Source organism: Homo sapiens, chromosome 1, assembly GCF_000001405.40.
Source record: "Homo sapiens chromosome 1, GRCh38.p14 Primary Assembly".
NCBI classification, from domain to species: Eukaryota; Metazoa; Chordata; class Mammalia; order Primates; family Hominidae; genus Homo; species Homo sapiens.
In genome coordinates, this window is record NC_000001.11 from 69,981,554 (window position 1) to 70,000,543 (window position 18,990).

Consider the following 18,990-nt stretch of genomic DNA (forward strand, 5'->3'; position numbering starts at 1 on the left):
AATGTCAGGGTTACAAAGATAATACATTCAATGACCTTGAATATATTTGTTTGAGAAGCTCGCACATAGCAGGATAAACAGATCTGGATTTCACTACTCATAGAAGAGCCTGATTTGTGCTATAGTCAAGGTATGTACAAATCCTGAGGCAACACGAGACACTTACCAATCCCTGTGCAAAGATTGAAGAATCAGAATATATGCCAGCTAAAAGTTTATACCTCTTCTTCAATATATTTATTTATTAAAAATTACATAGCATTTACCACGGGCTAAGCATTCTCTCTGTGTTGTACAAATGTTGATTCATTGAATCCCTACAACAATCCTATGAAGTAAGTTCTACTACCATCCCCATTTTATAGATGAGGAAACTAAAATACAAAAAAAGTAACTGGCCCAAGATAACACAGCCAGTACCCCAGGGAGCTGTAATTCAAACCAGCGCCAGAGGCTGCTGTTGACTGTAAAGCTCCCAAAGGCTCTCTATGGAACCAATAGAAGGTACAAATGAGAATTTTACTTTTCACAATTGTTACATTCCCAAAATCCACTGTGCAAATCAACTCACATGCCAAATTTCTCAATAAGTTTGTTATTTAAGTGGAAAGGCAGGGATGAAATCTTCCATAAAACATATAATGCTGCCTAATTTGTCTGTCTCGAGAGTAGATGTTTCATATGTACTGCTAGCTTTATATAGATTCCTTACTTTATTTTGTATACTTGCACTTGGTAATTTGTTATACGCTGTGTGGGAATACCCTACACCTCCCTGCCAGAAATAGCCATGGCTTTCTGGATGTTGGCGCTGGCAAAGAATTGCTTTTCAGTTACCCCAAAATACTTGGCTTTGAATGGTTCATCTTGAGTGTGGTCTCCAGCCTATGTCTGTCAGTTTCACAGAATAATTAAAACATTTAATATCATTAGCCATGGGGAAAAGAAGCACATTCATTTTTTTCTTAGTTCATGTATCATAATAAAGTTAATATACTTTGTGAATACTTTTGAATAGTCTGGGCTATTATTTTCCACTGTGTTTTTCACAAGTCAGAGAAGCAAATAGATAATGATCAAATATTTAGTCTTTTACATAGTTCTATCTTGTGACCATCAATCTAAGGTTAATCAACCAAAATATGACTAAATCATGTATTGAATTCACATTTATTTTAAACAAACTCCAGTATCTTCTTTTACTTGTGGCTTCTACTCTTTCCATTTGCTGCACTGCTCACCTATAGACCCCTCTATGCCCAGAGAATGTGGGATCAACATTCAATATCCTCAAGCACTGTAAGAATTTATGCCTTTACAGTCCTCAGGCTATGATTGCTTTGATACAGTGTTTTCAACATCAAAGTGTTATTCCAAAAAGAATGTTTAGGAACTGCACACCAAAATACTAAATTACGCTGAAGATAGCAATGAAGGAAGCTGGAAGCTTCAAGGAGAAAATAAATTTTCTCATGATATCTCATGATAAAGGAACAAAAAAGAAACACACACACACATATCATTCTTTCATTGCTCAATGGAAAAGAAGAGTGAACTTAGGTAACATGATAGTTCCTTGGGATGGAAAGCTATGAGTAAAGTGACAATATTTTTCCAAGTGACACATTTCCAAGCATGAGGAGAAACTCTGACTCATCCAAAGTACTCTGATTCTAGCTAGCAAATATTCAGTCACTCGAAGCCTGTGCTCACACTCTGCACCCACATGGGAAGCTGAGGGAGCAGGGCTGGAGATTTGCACTGGGTTAATTAAGGATATGTGCCCTCCAAATGGACTTTGTAGCCTGTAGTCTGATAAAATTGAGTTTGAAATCAGCTCCACCCCATATTAATGGGATAACTTTGGAGTGTTACTTGTAGTAGATGCTCTCATGCATCCTTCTCCAGGACTTAAGAATTTACTCTATTCCCCCAGCTTCTGGAAATGCTGCTTGCAGCTCTCCAGCCTTCTTCAGAAATTGCCTCACGTAAAGAGAACATCTTCATCCACGGTCATAACCCCATTCCCAGAGACCTCCATCCAATGATCAGTCAATGCAGGTATATAAAGGCTCAGCCCTTCATCCTCTACTCAGAACAACTTCAGGGCAATCCCAACTTCAGTGATCTTTGAAGTGCCAGCCAAGGACTTTCTTAAGACTTCATCACAGCCCAACTTCTTTGTCTACCCAATCCTGCTCCCTTTCTTTCCTGTCTCTTCCTTTCTACTGGTGTTGATCCTAAACACTCTCAAAAACTTCTTTCTTTGTCTCTGCTTCCCAAGGAATCCAACATGTGACATGACTTAATCTCCAATATTTAATATGTGTTAAAATGTGGATTCTGATTCAGCAGATCTGGGGTGGGTCTGACATTATACTTTTTTTTTTTGGATGGAGTCTCGCTCTGTTGCCCAGGCTGGAGTTCAGTGGCATGATCTCAGCTCACCGCAACCTCTGCCTCCAGGGTTCAACTGATTCTCCTGCCTCAGCCTCCTGAGTAGCTGGTATTACAGGTGCCCGCCACCATAGTCAGCTAATTTTTGTATTTTTAGTAGAGACGGGGTTTCACCATGTTGGTCAGGCTGGTCTCAAACTCCTGATCTCGTGATCCGCCCACCTTGGCCTCCCAAAGTGCTGGGATTACAGGCGTGAGCCACCGCGCCCAGCAGAGATTATACATTTCTAACAAGCTCCCAAGTGGTGTCAATGCTGCTGGTCTGCCGAACACATTTTGGGTAGCAAAAACATAAAATATTGAATCAAATAATATATATAAAGTACTTAGTATAGTGCCAAGTGCGAGCTTGTGTGTATGTAATAAATTTATGTATTTATTGTGTATTTGTTTATTTATACTCTGTCAAGTAATTAGAGATGGTAAAGTATGCACAGGTAGACCAGATAAACAGATGAACCATTCGTTGAGTAACTGAAATGTGTGGAACATTTATTTACAAAACATGCCCTAAAGGAAAAGGAAAATGAGGACCTTTGCCCTGCCCTAACTCCTCTAGTCCGTGTCCCGCCCACATGTTCACTCCTTGCCCAAGATATGGGTTGATCCTTCCCTCTCCTCAGAAATCAGTTACTAATCCAATCATTCCACTTCTAACTTTCTCTGGAGTCCATCCCCTCTTCATCCTCACTTCTGTTGCCTTAACAGCTAAAATACTTCTATATCCCTCTAACAGATCTCCTTGACTCCAGCTTTTGAAAGTTCCCTGAAGTTACTACTTCTAAGCATAAATCTGTTCATGTCATTCCCCATATTACAATCCTTTTGCTTTCCTTGCCTATAAAATAGAGTTTGCATTTCTTCACGTGACATAGAAACCCTTTCAGCATCTGGCTTCTCCCTGTAATCTCAACTTCATCACTATACTCAGCCACTTTGAATTTCCCACTCTTCCTCAAACATAGCATGCTTCGTCACACTTTATAAAGGCACGTGCTGTTCTCCCTTCCAGGTACAGGTTCTCTTCTTTTGATGAGCAGCATCTTCCAGGCCATTTGCAGCCCTTCCCTGTTCTGTGGCATTCACTACATGCTTTTTTATTGCACTTGTCACAGGGTGTTATAATTATTTCTTACTTGAAAGTTTCCTTCATTACTGAGAACTCCTTACTGATAAAAACTTTGTCTTCATCATGGCAAGTCTGTCCCCATACTTAGCTGTCTTATTCTTGATTGTTCTTGAATACGTAACACAGATACTGGTGCATAGTAGATCCTTCAAAAAGGGCCATTGAATGAGCAAAACATTGACTCTAATTAATAGGGTAATCTCCAAAATTATAATTTAAAACCTTTCTTATGCATTTGAAATTTTAAGGATCTACATGTCAATGTCATTGTTTCAGTGGCAGCTTCTTTAGTTGGGAGTTATTTATTTTATTCAGTGCCAACTTCAAGATTATTGTGTGTTTTCTAACTGCTGCATTGAGATATAATTCACATACCATATACAGTTCCGTGGTTTTTGGACTACTCACATAGTTGTACAACCATCACCACAATCTAATTTTAGAACATTTTCATGAGCCCTAAAAGAAAACCTGAACCTATTAGCCATAACTCCCACACTCCCCATCCACCCAGCTCCTAGAAACCCTACTCAACTTTCTATCTCTATGGATTTGCATATTCTGGACATATCATATAAATGGAATCATACAATGTGTGGTCTTTTGTGACTGGCATCTGTTACTTTGCATGTATTTTCAAGGTTCATACATTGTATAACATGTATCAATACTTTATTCCTTTTTATTACCAAGTAATATTTCATTATATGTATATGCCACATTTGATTTATGTGTTCATCAGTTGACGGACATTTGGGTTGTCACCAATTTTTGACATTGTGAATAATGCATCTGTGACCATTTGTGTAAGTTTTTGTGTGTACATATGTTTTTATTCTCAGTGGTATATGCCTATAGTGGTATAACCCTATTTATTGTTGAGTCATTTTGAGAAACTGCCAAACAGTTCTTCAAAGTGGCTATACCATTTTACATTCCTACTAGCAATGTTTGAAGTTTACAATTCCTCCACATTCTTGCCAACACTTGTTATTGTTGTGGTTGCTTTTAAAATAAACTTTACAGTGTAGTGGTTCTTACAACTTTAAAATGTCTTGTGAAAGTCTCTCAACTAACCCTGAGTTTATGCAATGTCATCAAGTCTATAGGGAAGTTAAAGATGTTGGTATACCTGGATATGTCAAAAAACAGAATAGAAACAGTTGACATGGACATTTCTGGATGTGAAGCCCTTGAGGACCTCTTATTGTCATCCAATATGTTGCAACAATTGCCTGATTCTATAGGTGAGAATATAATATTTTGTCACAAATATTTATGTCAAATATACCATTTTCTTTTTTGGAAGTATAGTTTGTCTATAGATATAGGTAATATACTGTTAGTCTGATGTTAATAAATTTTAAAATGTGCTATGGAAATCATAAAATAGTATCTAACAAATATCTTAAGTGAAATATTAACTCGTTTCCAAATTCAAGAAGGCTCTTCTGTTAAAATGATCCTACCAAATTGATATTGTTTAAAAATTGTTATATCTCCAAAGTTGCAAAATGTTATTATAAGGAGTATGTATGTTTTCTTCAGAGTAATTTAATAATCATGTATGTATCCTTATATTATGATAGAATTACAATAGCTTCCATCCATAGGATGTTGCTATATTCTATTTGTAATATTGTTGTAACATTGGTATAATGTAGGAGTAACATATAAAAAGTATAAACATAAAATGTCTTCTTAGTTCTATTATTTTTAAAAAGTCACATGTCCTTAACATGTTAAGATTCATTAGATCAAATAATTTGCCGGTTAGTGTATAAAAAGCACTCATACATTTTTGTTTAAGGATGTTTACATGGGCCAGGCGCAGTGGCTCACACCTGTTATCCCAGCACTATGGGAGGCCAAGGCGGGTGGGTCACGAGGTCAGGAGTTCAAAACCAGCCTAGCCAATATGGTGAAACCCCATCTCCACTAAAAATACAAAAAGTACCGGGCATGGTGGTGCATGCCTGTAGTCCCAGCTACTCGGGAGGGAGGCTGAGGCAGGAGAATCGCTTGAACCCAGGAGGCGGTGGTTGCAGTGAGCCGAGATTATGCCGCTGCACTCCAGCCTGGGCAATAGAGGGAGACTCCGTCTCAAAAACAAACAAACAAAAAAAGTTTATATGAGTAAAATAGTGAAAGACTCATTTAAATAATGTGTAAGCTTTTTTGTGTAGGTATCTTGCTGTTAGTATTTGTAAGAGAACTCTACGAAAAGGGTAATCATTAAATTACTTAACTTTGTAACATAGATTTTAACCTCTTTGAAACAGATGTGTTATATGTTCTGGAACTTAATCATTATTAAGATTGACTGAAGTTCAGAATCAGTCTTCTATTAGCAATGTGGTGCTCTTATCCTTCGTGGATGCTGCAGATCCAATCCAAGCCAACTTGTGACTTGCCATAGTTTTCCACAGTGAATTTTCTGTTTCCCTTTTCACTAGCTCCACATATGAGTTGTAAATTTTTAATCATTATTAAGTTCCAGAACATATAACTTTTAAAAATTAAGCCATATCCTAGGTAATCCAGTTGAAGATGAGGCAATTTTCCAAATTTTTCTTCAATACATTATTACTTCTACTTAGCCATTCTTTGAGGCTGATAAAGAACATTAGTTTTAGCAAAATTGTGGTCCATCGTTTCTTTCTTCCTAGAATTGTTGACTTTTTATTTACAAAATCCCATATTTTATAATGATATTTCTCTAACTTGCTCAATCATGGGTCTTAACTGAGAGTTTTATTAAACACTTCCACATTTCTAGGCTTTGTCTCTTAAGATTCTGATTCAGTAAATGTGACAAGCCCCTTGATCTGTACTTTTATTAAACATCTTAGATGAAACTTGTGATCAGACAAATTTAGGAAATACTGGTTTATGTTGTAACAGATAAGGAAGTATGATTATAGAGAACATCCACTGGTCAAGATGACAGAGCAACTTAATACATAACCTTACACTCCTACTCACCACCATCCCATACCATTTTAAATATATCTTGAAAATATAAAAACTCTATATATTCAAAGAACATATTTTTCTTCATTACTGACTCCTCAGTGCCAAGAACTGTGCCTGGCATATTCTACGTGCTGTTTGAACACTTAGTAAATAAAATAATTTAGCCACACTCACCCAGGCATGGTGGCATGTGCCAACAGTCCCAGTTACTCAAAAGGTTGAGACAAGAGGATTGCTTGAGCCCAGGAATTCGAGTCCACCCTAGGCAACATAGCAAGACTCCATCTCTGAAAAAAAAATTCTAATTTTTAAAAAGAAAAATGATGTTTGCTTAAGAAGAATGAACATCAACCTGAACCTGTGATAGAATGGAAATCCAGCAATATCTCCAGGCCTGATGGGCTACAAACCACAAACAGCAGCTGTAAGTTCAGTTCTTACCGTGAAATAAGAAATAGAAGGACTTTAAGCACAACAGAGGAATCAGAACTTACAAAAGATTAGGGCGGGACCTCTTTTCTGTGAAAAGGGACTGAAAAATTTACAACTAGTATGTGGAGCTACAGAAAAGGGAAATAACAGAAAATTCACTGCGGAAAACTATGGCAAGTGACAAGCTGGCTTGGACTGAATCTGCAGTATCCACAAAGGATAAGACCACCAACATTGCTAATATAAGACTGGTTCTGAACTCCAGAAACCTGGGGGTCAGGTGGAGGTAACCAGAAAACTGCCAGACAGGGAGAAGTGAGCATAGTGAAGGGGGAAACATTCACCCTCACAAATGAGCTTGCAAACAAAAATGTTGAAGGAAACTAATGTTGCTTTGACAACCAAAAATTCAACCAAATAGGAGAATTTACCCTAAGGGAAACAAAAGTTATCAACCAATATGAAAACTATTTTAAGCATGTATAGAACATCAAATAGATAAAAGAATAACAATTAGGTGTTATAGCCAAATAATTAGGGCCAGTGAAAGAGGAATCTTTTATATTTAAAATGCTGAAACACAAATAATAAGACTTATCTAACAAAAACCTGAGCTATGACTAAAAATAGATGGTTAAGAAAAAGAATCAATTAAAAATCCTGAAAATGAAAAGGAAGATATTGGTCAAAGGACACCAAGTTGCAGTTAGACAGGAGGAATAAATGATAAGTATTTAAATTGACAGATATGTTAATTAGCTTGATTCAATCATTCTAAAGTGATACCACTGCATCACTATGTACCTGATAATTATATACAATTTTAATTTGCCAAAAAGTTTTCAAAAATAAATTTTGAAAAAGAAATCCTGGAAATTAAAATACCACATTAGGTATGAAATACCACATAGGGTAATTTTAAAATACAACAGCTATAATGAAGAAAGTATGATATAGTCAGGTATAAAATTTGTAAGTTGGAAGACAGTGCTGAGGAACAGAACAGGCACATAGAAATTTGTTAATAAGAAATATTAAAAATGAGTTAAGAGACACAGAGAATAGAATAGAAATTGCATTCTAAAAATGAAAAAGCAAACAAATTACCTTCTCCAGGAATAAATACAGAATTCCAGAAATACAGAACAGAATAAATGGAAAAGAGGAACTATTCAAAGAGAAAATAGTTGATATTATTTTTCAACATTAAATACACAAGTAATTTATCATAATAAATGCATACACATAGTGCTAAAAGAGATAAATATAATAAATTTGCACTGGCTCATTGTTCTGAAACTGCAAGGACAAAGAAAAGTATTGTTTAAAGCTGCCATAGAACAAAAAGAGCTTATCTACATAATAATAATTAGAGATGTCTTCATTGTCATCAGTGACAATATCTTCTGGATAGCGGAGTAATATCTTCAAAGTACTGAAGGTTAATTACAGGCAGATTGGATTTCTATACCCAAGTAAACATTCATTCAAGAGTGAGCACACAACAAATATATTTGAACATATACCAAGAATAAGAGAATCTGCTCTTAAAAGATGTACTTTACTCAGAAAACAAAAACAAACTCAGAAGGAAGGAAGTGAATGCATAAAGCAATGGCAAGCTTTACCAAATTTACCAACTTAATTTGGTAAATTAAGTAATTTAATTAAGTAATTTAGTTTACCAACTTAATTTGGTAGAAATTAAGAAAGAAATCTCTTCAGTATTTCTTAGTTGGGAGTATAGGATGAAGAGATGGAGACTTGCAGAAGGGCAAAAGTAGAGAGAAGGAATAGGATAAAATACCTTTGATTACTCTAGAGAAAAGAGTCTAAGCACATATGATATAGAAATGCAATAAAGATGTTATTTATGAACTTAATTTGGTAAATTAAATTAATTAAATTACTCAATTTGGTAAATGAAGTTGTTATATCTAAATAATTAGTGCCTGTAAAGAGGAATCTTTTATATTTAAAATGTTTAGACAGGATTAAGGAATGTGAAGGACCTTACCTTATTCAAGCAGAGGCTAGAAATACTGCATAACTTTAGAATTTGCATGATATTCAGTTAAATAGACATGTTAAAAATGTAAATGTATCTACTTAATAGAAATGAAGCTGATACTTCCAAACCAGGAGAGGAGGGGAAAAGTTCTGAAAGAAAATATTCATACGGTGGAAGAAAGAAAAATAAAATGTAAAAATGATAAAATAGAAGTTATAAATAAGATGGTAAAAATAAATTCAAATTGTCATAAATCACAACAAATGTAATAGATTTAATTGATTACACTTATTCTATTAAAAGATCCAGAATTTCAAGTTCAGCTATATTGTGGTTATGAGACATATCTAAAACAAAACACAGAAAGTTTGATTTTACAAAGGCAATAGAGTTGGTTACCAGACTGGGCAACACAGCAAGTTCCCAATTCTACAACAAATTAAAAAATTACCCAGGCACAGTGGCACACACTTGCAGTCCTAACTACTCAGGAAGCTGAGGCAGTAGGATTGCTTGAGCCCAGGAGTTCAGAGGTTGCAGAGAGCTATGATTGTACCACTGCACTCCAACCTGGGTGACAGAATGGGACCTTTTATCAAAAAAAAAAAAAAACAAACTGGTAGAAAATGAAGCATTATTATTAACATGATATAATTGTTTGTATGAAATAGTTTCCTTTAAGAAAGAAACTAGGAAATTAGCCTTCTGGTCTGAAGAAGTCAGCATGTAATAGGTAACAGAGAATATCAAGCTAGACACTGGATTGGCATATGACAGACTAGGATAGGTAGGTGGTATTATATATTTTACACCTTCATTTATGACCTGAATGGTTCTCAAAGTAACTGTTGTAGTAGCTTACTCCTTGAACTATCTTTGGACCTTATTGACCTGTCAGGGAAATTTGTATTTATACATCTGCAGAGTTGCCACAGTCCCTGATTCTAAATGTAGAGTAGCTGACTCTCCTCAGAGAATTCCCTTTCTTGGTCAAAATAAATATCTGGAATAGGAAACTGAGAGCTCTGTTCTGAGGCCCTAGAATGGTTCATTAGTGATAATTGGATGGCGAATTGCATCGTGTCCTCCTTATTTGGATCATGGATTATCTATTGGACTACCGACATTTAAAAGAATAAAAGATAAGAATCTTCATAGTATTAATAGAGGGATATGGCAACTTAAATAAAATCTTTACTTTCTTCATGCCTTTTTTAGTTCCTCTGCAGCTATCGGGTATTTGAATGGAATGATATACTCAACAACAAGCCCCGTGTGCTGAGTCACTTTCCCTGTGCTGGTTCCAGGGCAAATGAAAGGGACTCTTTTCCTCTTCTAGATGGAGAGTTTTCATAATCAGCTTCTTTGGATAGCAGAGAAACTCAATAAAGAAAAATAAAAGAAAAAGAAATATTTTTTGCTTAATAATTTATCTTACTCACTTAAAGGTTAAGGGCATGGGCTTTATAGTTAGGTTACTTAGAGTTCTGATTCTGGCTTTTCTACCTTACTTGCTGTGTGACCTTAGACAAGTTACTTAATCTTGCCTCAGTTTCATCATCTATTAAGTGATAGTAGTAATAGTACCTGACATATAGTAAACAGCTATTGTTACAATATAATATTTATTATAATCTTAGATTTGATGAGTGCACAACTATTTCCTTTCAAAGTTCTATTATATATTTGTAAATGTAAATATTAGCAAATTATATTAATGTTTAATGTATTAATGCTGACTGCATATATGTGTGTGTAGTTAAAATTGTAGGAAAAGGCCTTCTTTTTCTATCTCTTCAGTATTTCTTAGTTGGGAGTATAGGATGAAGAGATGGAGACTTGGAGAAGGGCACAAGTAGAGAGAAGGAATAGGATAAAATACCGTTGATTACTCTAGAGAAAAGAGTCTAAGCACATATGATATAGAAATGCGATAAAGATGTTAAATGCTGGAGGAAGACATGAGCAACAAGGGTGAGGCTTGCAGCCTAATTTCATCCCAGGGGCAATCATAATTCTACAGAAGCTCCAGACTCTGTCCGAAGAGTATCCTCTTGGATGGAATATGAGTGTTGGCAAAATAGCCACACAACAAATGAGTGAGGTTCCTTTAAACCCACAGACTTGGAGCTGAGCAGGAACTAAATTGCTTCAACCTTTAAAGATATTGAAAAAGATGCACTTAACAAAAGTTTCTTGTGAGAGCCACTACTCCAGTCTTCAGGATAATCTGTCACATCAGCATTTAGCCTTAGGCCCCAACCTTCCTCAAGGTTTTCTCTCCATTACTTCAGAGCTGGAGACTATGATCCTCTGAGAGTACTTTGCACCCTGACTTTGTGACGTTTGCTCAGTCATCTGTAACCCACTCCCAAGCTTCTTGTGACCCGATTGAGTGATGTTGAGACCATCAACCCACATACAGCTCCACTGGCAGGCAGGACACTCGTCTGATCCAGGCTACCAAGTCACAAAAAACTTAGCTATAAGTCATACTTTCCTGTTTTCTTTCCACAACTCAAAAACAAGCTCAGGTGCTCTTTTATATTTCCAAGGCTGATACTGTAACATATGCTCTGGAGAAGCTAAAATGATTCAATCACCTTTTGAACATAGATGGATATGGCAGTGGATTTTCAAACTTCAATGATAAATTGCCACAATGTGAACTGTCCCTTTCCCAGGTGATGTTGTTTTCAAGCTGATGTATTCAGTTCCCAGGTACTTGCTCATAACAGTCTGATAGTGATAACATTTCTCTCTACTGCAGTAGAGATTCTGATTGCTTCTGAAGAATACATAACAGAGCATACTGAAATGTGAAGTGCAGCCACAGCTTTATTTCAGACTTTTTGTGACTTACTCTATGCCTGTTAGGAACCCTCAAAATATTTGAGAAATATGGGCATGATCTATAGCCAGTTTCTCAAAACATGTTCACAAAACACTAGTTCAACAACATACTGTGCACCACACACACACACACAAAGACACACACATGAATTCCATAATAAATCTGGAGAGTCACATTGGTATGTTAAAAGCTCCTAGACAAACTATTAAAGAAAGCTATTTAATTTTGTTTAATTTGGCGTCTCTCAAAACATATATGATCATGAAACTTACTATGTCAATTAGTAAAATTTTTTTTTTGCAGAATGCAGCAATCTATAGTGTACATGTGTAGTTCCAATGTAAAACAAAATTTGTTAAGTGTTAATGCTTTGCCCTTGGATTTGGACTATTTAAGCCATATCAATATTGTAGGTTATTTTATGGTTGGATAAGGAAGTTGATTATGCCAAATGCAGCTGTTCTTCAATTACTGTGTGACTATTGCTCATTAAAACCCTGGGAAGAGAGCAAGCCATTAAGGGTATGGAGGCCATAAATCAGATAATGAAAGATAAATAGTTGTAACTTAAATTCTTGGCCAGTTCTAAGTTTTTGTGCTTATTGCTGATCCAAGGCAGGATTTATGGTGCCAAAAAGAATATGACGTCATATGTTGTAAATTTCCAAGAACATAATTATAACCGCTGCATTGCAATACTTCAGTATTCATTTTCGTTGATCATTGGACTTAATTCAGATTTGTTTTCAATTTGTATCACAACAGCGATGTTAGTTATTACTGCTTAGGAACTAATTAAATATTAAATCACAGCTGGCTTGAAAAATTTCAACTGGTCCATTTGCTGAAGAATACAAAAGGGAAATGTAGTAGTATTAGTGTCAACTGGGGTGTATGTGGAGCTGTATGTTTTGTTTATTTCTCTGCATTTATATTCTTGAACTGTCATTGATGTATGCAACTTTTTTGCAACTAGAAGGTCAAAATTAGACTACACACAAACGTCAGTTTTATGAGTGTGTATTAGCAGAGTTTGGCCAATTAGCATGCCAAGCATTCAACACAAGTGATTCATGTGATTTCTTTTATATCACATTTCCTGTCATAATCTGCTCTTATGTATTAATCAACCTTCTTCTCTGCTTTAGGACTTTTGAAAAAACTAACAACTCTAAAAGTAGATGACAATCAACTTACAATGCTACCCAATACAATTGGAAAGTAAGTGCCAACTTTTCATTCCAGTCTGCCTCTCAAAAGCCAGAAACTAAAGGATATATTGAGTTTTCTAATTCAAAACATTTTCTACTAAAGATACCAATAATCCTGTTCATCTGTCAGCTTATTTTAAACCATATTTTATTTATATATATTTGTGTATATCTTAATTTTATATCTAAACATTGCATTTGATATCCAACTTTATAATATCATGAGAAATGTTTACCCATGAATCTTTCACAAGGAAAATGATTACCCAGACCTTCAATTATACTCTTGCTGATATTTTTCAGATATTATTAGTTTGATGTTTTTGACTGAGTAGCAGCTCTGAATTCACTTCACTGTTTCTTGCAAAATTAAACCAATTTTTATAAGGCTCTGCAATATGTATATGTTACCATTACACTATTAGTAACATTTAATATTTATAGAATCTTAACGTATTTTTAGAAGCTAAGGAGAAAAGCATCTGCTTTAGCTAGCATTTTTTAAAACTTCAAGATGAAAGTCTAACATTGCCTTTTAAAGATAAAATATACTCCATTTATTTGATAACAATTTATTTCTAATATTGTCATTAACATTTGGTTTACAATTCTTTAAGAACTATATATATTATCAATGTTCCATTGAAGTGCTTTTGTTTACAATCCGTGTAAAGTGAGAAATCAGTAGAGGCTGTCTTCATTCTGAAATTATGTAAGGGCATTTTATTGAGATCTTGCCCTACATCCTAGTGTGAAGAATCATATAAATTCTTTTTTTTTTAATTTATTATTATTATACTTTAAGTTTTAGGGTACATGTGCACAATGTGCAGGTTAGTTACATATGTATACATGTGCCATGCTGGTGCGCTGCACCCACTAACTCCTCATCTAGCATTAGGTATATCTCCCAATGCTATCCCTCCCCCCTCCCCCAACCCCACAATGGTCCCCAGAGTGTGATGTTCCCCTTCCCGTGTCCATGTGTTCTCATTGTTCAAGTCCCACCTATGAGTGAGAATATGCGGTGTTTGGTTTTTTGTTCTTGCGATAGTTTACTCAGAATGATGATTTCCAATTTCATCCATCTCCCTACAAAGGACGTGAACTCATCATTTTTTATGGCTGCATAGTATTCCATGGTGTATATGTGCCACATTTTCTTAATCCAGTCTATCATTGTTGGACATTTGGATTGGTTCCAAGTCTTTGCTGTTGTGAATAATGCCGCAATAAACATACGTGTGCATGTGTCTTTATAGCAGCATGATTTATAGTCCTTTGGGTATATACCCAGTAATGGGATGGCTGGGTCAAATGGTATTTCTAGTTCTAGATCCCTGAGGAATCGCCACACTGACTTCCACAATGGTTGAACTAGTTTACAGTCCCACCAACAGTGTAAAAGTGTTCCTATTTCTCCACATCCTCTCCAGCACCTGTTGTTTCCTGACTTTTGAATGATTGCCATTCTAACTGGTGTGAGATGGTATCTCATTGTGGTTTTGATTTGCATTTCTCTGATGGCCAGTGATGGTGAGCATTTTTTCATGTGTTTTTTGGCTGCATAAAGGTCTCTTTTGAGAAGTGTCTGTTCATGTCCTTCGCCCACTTTTTGATGGGGTTGTTTGTTTTTTTCTAGTAAATTCGTTGGAGTTCATTGTAGATTCTGGATATTAGTCCTTTGTCAGATGAGTAGGTTGCGAAAATTTTCTCCCATTTTGTAGGTTGCCTGTTCACTCTGATGGTAGTTTCTTTTGCTGTGCAGAAGCTCTTTAATTAGATCCCATTTGTCAATTTTGTCTTTTGTTGCCATTGCTTTTGGTGTTTTAGACATGAAGTCCTTGCCCATGCCTATGTCCTGAATGGTAATGCCTAGGTTTTCTTCTAGGGTTTTTATGGTTTTAGGTCTAACGTTTAAGTCTTTAATCCATCTTGAATTGATTTTTGTATAAGGTGTAAGGAAGGGATCCAGTTTCAGCTTTCTACATATGGCTAGCCAGTTTTCCTAGCACCATTTATTAAATAGGGAATCCTTTCCCCATTTCTTGTTTTTCTCAGGTTTGTCAAAGATCAGATAGTTGTAGATATGTGGCGTTATTTCTGAGGGCTCTGTTCTGTTCCGTTGATCTATATCTCTGTTTTGGTACCAGTACCATGCTGTTTTGGTTACTGTAGCCTTGTAGTATAGTTTGAAGTCAGGTAGTGTGATGCCTCCAGCTTTGTTCTTTTGGCTTAGGATTGACTTGGCAATGCGGGCTCTTTTTTGGTTCCATATGAACTTTCAAGTAGTTTTTTCCAATTCTGTGAAGAAAGGCATTGGTAGCTTGATGGGGATGGCATTGAATCTGTAAATTACCTTGCGCAATATGGCCATTTTCATGATATTGATTCTTCCTACCCATGAGCATAGAATGTTCTTCCATTTGTTTGTATCCTCTTTTATTTCTTTGAGCAGTGGTTTGTAGTTCTCCTTGAAGAGGTCCTTCACATCCCTTGTGAGTTGGATTCCTAGGTATTTTATTCTCTTTGAAGCAATTGTGAATGGGAGTTCACTCATGATTTGGCTCTCTGTTTCTCTGTTGTTGGTGTATGAGAATGCTTGTGATTTTTGTACATTGATTTTGTATCCTGAGACTTTGCTGAAAGTTGCTTATCAGCTGAAGGAGATTTTGGGCTGAGACAATGGGGTTTTCTAGATATACAATCATGTCATCTGCAAACAGGGACAATTTGACTTCCTCTTTTCCTAATTGAATACCCTTTATTTCCTTCTCCTGCCTAATTGCCCTGGCCAGAACTTCCAACACTATGTTGAATAGGAGTGGTGAGAGAGGGCATCCCTGTCTTGTGCCAGTTTTCAAAGGGAATGCTTCCAGTTTTTGTCCATTCAGTATGATATTGGCTGTGGATTTGTCATAGATAGCTCTTATTATTTTGAGATACGTCCCATCAATACCTAATTTATTGAGAGTTTTTAGCATGAAGGGTTGTTGAATTTTGTCAAAGGCCTTTTCTGCATCTATTGAGATAATCATGTGGTTTTTGTCTTTGGTTCTGTTTATATGCTGGATTACATTTATTGATTTGCATATATTGAACCAGCCTTGCATCCCAGGGATGAAGCCCACTTGATCATGGTGGATAAGCTTTTTGATGTGCTGCTGGATTCGTTTTGCCAGTATTTTATTGAGGATTTTTGCATCAATGTTCATCAAGGATATTGGTCTAAAATTCTCTTTTGTGGTTGTATCTCTGCCCGGCTTTGGTATCAGGATGATGCTGGCCTCATAAAATGAGTTAGGGAGGATTCCCTCTTTTTCTATTGATTGGAATAGTTTCAGAAGGAATGGTGCCAGTTCCTCCTTGTACCTCTGGTAGAATTCGGCTGTGAATCCATCTGGTCCTGGACTCTTTTTGGTTGATAAGCTATTGATTATTGCCACCATATAAATTCTTACTGTAACAAATTTGGTATTCTCAAGAGGGGAAAGCCTTATTTTTTTAAATAGCTTTATTAAGTATAATTGACATACAAAAAACTGCACATATTTAAAGTCTACAATTTGATAAGCTTTGACGTAGCTAAGAAGCCTTGAAACTATCACCACTGCAATGAAGACAGCGAAAATGTCTGTTACCTCTCCCCCAGTCCTTCTCCCCATCACTCCCTCATCACCTGCCAAGTCAGCATATAGCCCCTCATCTAGAAAGCTTCACTTTTATAGAGTGGAACAACTTGCTAAAATTCAAACTCAGATGTTCAGACTTTGAAGAGTAGTAAAAGTCTCAGCCATTTTTTTTTATTTTAATGCCCTCACTATACAGTGTGTTTCTCTGTACAGTTACTTGCATTTTCTCCAGTATAGAGCAAAGAGAACTTAAGTTTAGGGGTACACAAAAGTAATTATCTTTATCAGCCCGATGCTTTTTAAAAGCAGGCACTAAGATAGGCACTAGTCTTTCTTCTTTGGGTCAATACTCGGGGAAACTGAATTCAACTTCTTTTATCCCTACTTAACGTCATGATTGGTATTTGCCTCTTATGTTCATATTTCTTATAAAACTACCCTGGCTCTTTGAAGACAAATTAAAAAGCATCAGTAGCCTAAAAATAGACAAGGAAAGGTAGCTTTTTCAGTAGGAAGTAGAACCCTGACTTTGGTCATCTTGAGAACTAGCTTTGCTGGTAATTTTTGGCCAGAATTTTGGCCTCTTGACCTCCCAGGTGAGGACCTCCCAGCTTTTTCTGGAGTCTGGTATCAGCCCATGACCACCACTGGATACATGTGTGCCTTGAGCTCCCGTCACATCCCAGAGTGAGTTCCTGCCTCTGACCTTCACCAGCAGTACCTGATGCCAGACTTTGCCTCAGGAACAGGCAACTTGAAGCTCTAACTCTGTCTCCTCCCCAGCAGCCAAGTGGGGCTTGCAGCCTGGCTCTGTACACACAGCCTAAACTACAGTCAGTCTTAGTTTCTATGTTACCACCAGAATTTAGTCATGTCCTTTGAAATCTTCCTGGTAGTTGAATTGTAAATGTTGAGAAAACTGAGCTGTTTAAATAGTGACCTGGTATAAGCTTTTATACTACTGTATTCAAAAGGAACAGATTTGGAAACATCAGTTGGCTGTCAGCAGCTTTCACTTGCTTGGACAAAAGGCTTATTCCAGAAAAGCAGGGTGAGTGACTGAGAATTAGAGCATCTATGAACACTGAGAAGGCAGAATAGGGAAGCTTCTTATTGAAAGCTGCTCATTCTCATTAAATTTTCAGATGCCACAAAGCCAGAAAAAAATACTTATGTTTGGTGACAGAAGCAGTATTTCAAAAGAGCTGGACAGAGTGGGTGCTTTGTTGAAAGACCCGATAAAACTTTAATAGAGATTCTTAGGGAAGTAGGGAGAAATCATTGCTTCAATTGGCCATCATCAATATAGCCAATATAATAATGGAACTGTCCAGAAAACCACTGAAGCATTAGCTGGGTAGATGGAAGTATCCACTCAAAATTAATAGGTACTAATAGTTCAGGTGTTCTCTGACACTTCTGATTCTGTCAGTTCTGGACATCATCTATGTGAATTGACAAGAGGGCGACCAGCATGAGAGATGTGGAACTGTGATTTATAGGAGAAAAAGCAGAAGAAATTTGGGATGTACATCTTCCAGAAATTTTTTTTTGAAATCATCTGAAGTAGGGATGTAACTACTTGAGAAATAGAGTATCTAAAAGTGTGGGACCATAGGCCCAGGTCTTCTTCTGTAAAGTTCCTGTTCCACTTCCAGACTTACTGGCACACTGTGCTCTTCCTCACTGTAGGTCCTGGGAGCCCAGAAAGCTGCTGCTGCCACCCACTCTAGTTCTGGACTCATTCTTCAATAATGGCTTCAGAGTAGGGGAGTACTTTCAATTCCCACCCTACTTGCCTTCGAAGACACAAATGTCTAGGGATCTTTGCTATAGGGCTTTCCTACTAATTACTGGGGAAACATTGCCAGAATATAACAAAAAATTCATGCTACAAAGTTCAGAAGTTTTATTATAAAATGTATAAACAGCCTATACAGGCCTGATGATAGTGATAATACGGTCATGCCAATAGTTGACCACATATACAACTGTGCTCCCATAAGATTATAATACTGTATTTTTACTGTACCTTTTCTATGTTTAGATACACAAATAGATGCCATTGTGTTACAATTGCTTACAGTATTCAGTAAATCACATGTCTTATAGTTTTGTAGCCTAAAAACAATAGGCTATATCATATAACGTAGGTGTGTAATAGATTACACCATCTAGGTTTGTGTACATACATCTGTAATGGTCACACGGTGATGAAATTACCTAATGATATATTTATCAGAATTCATCCCAGTCATTAAGTGACGCATGACTGTAATCACATCTGC

General features: G+C 36.4%; 1 protein-coding gene across 6 annotated transcripts in view; it reads left to right on the forward strand.

Annotated features, from left to right (window-relative positions):
* Nucleotides 1–18,990, forward strand: part of LRRC7 (leucine rich repeat containing 7) — a 576,443-nt gene that overhangs the window by 413,632 nt on the left and 143,821 nt on the right. For all 6 annotated transcript variants that reach the window (NM_001330635.3, NM_001366839.3, NM_001370785.2 and 3 more), the window contains 2 exons: nt 4,689–4,833; nt 13,008–13,080. In NM_001330635.3, coding sequence (NP_001317564.1) covers nt 4,689–4,833; nt 13,008–13,080 — 218 coding nt within the window. The remainder of the gene's footprint in view (nt 1–4,688; nt 4,834–13,007; nt 13,081–18,990) is intronic.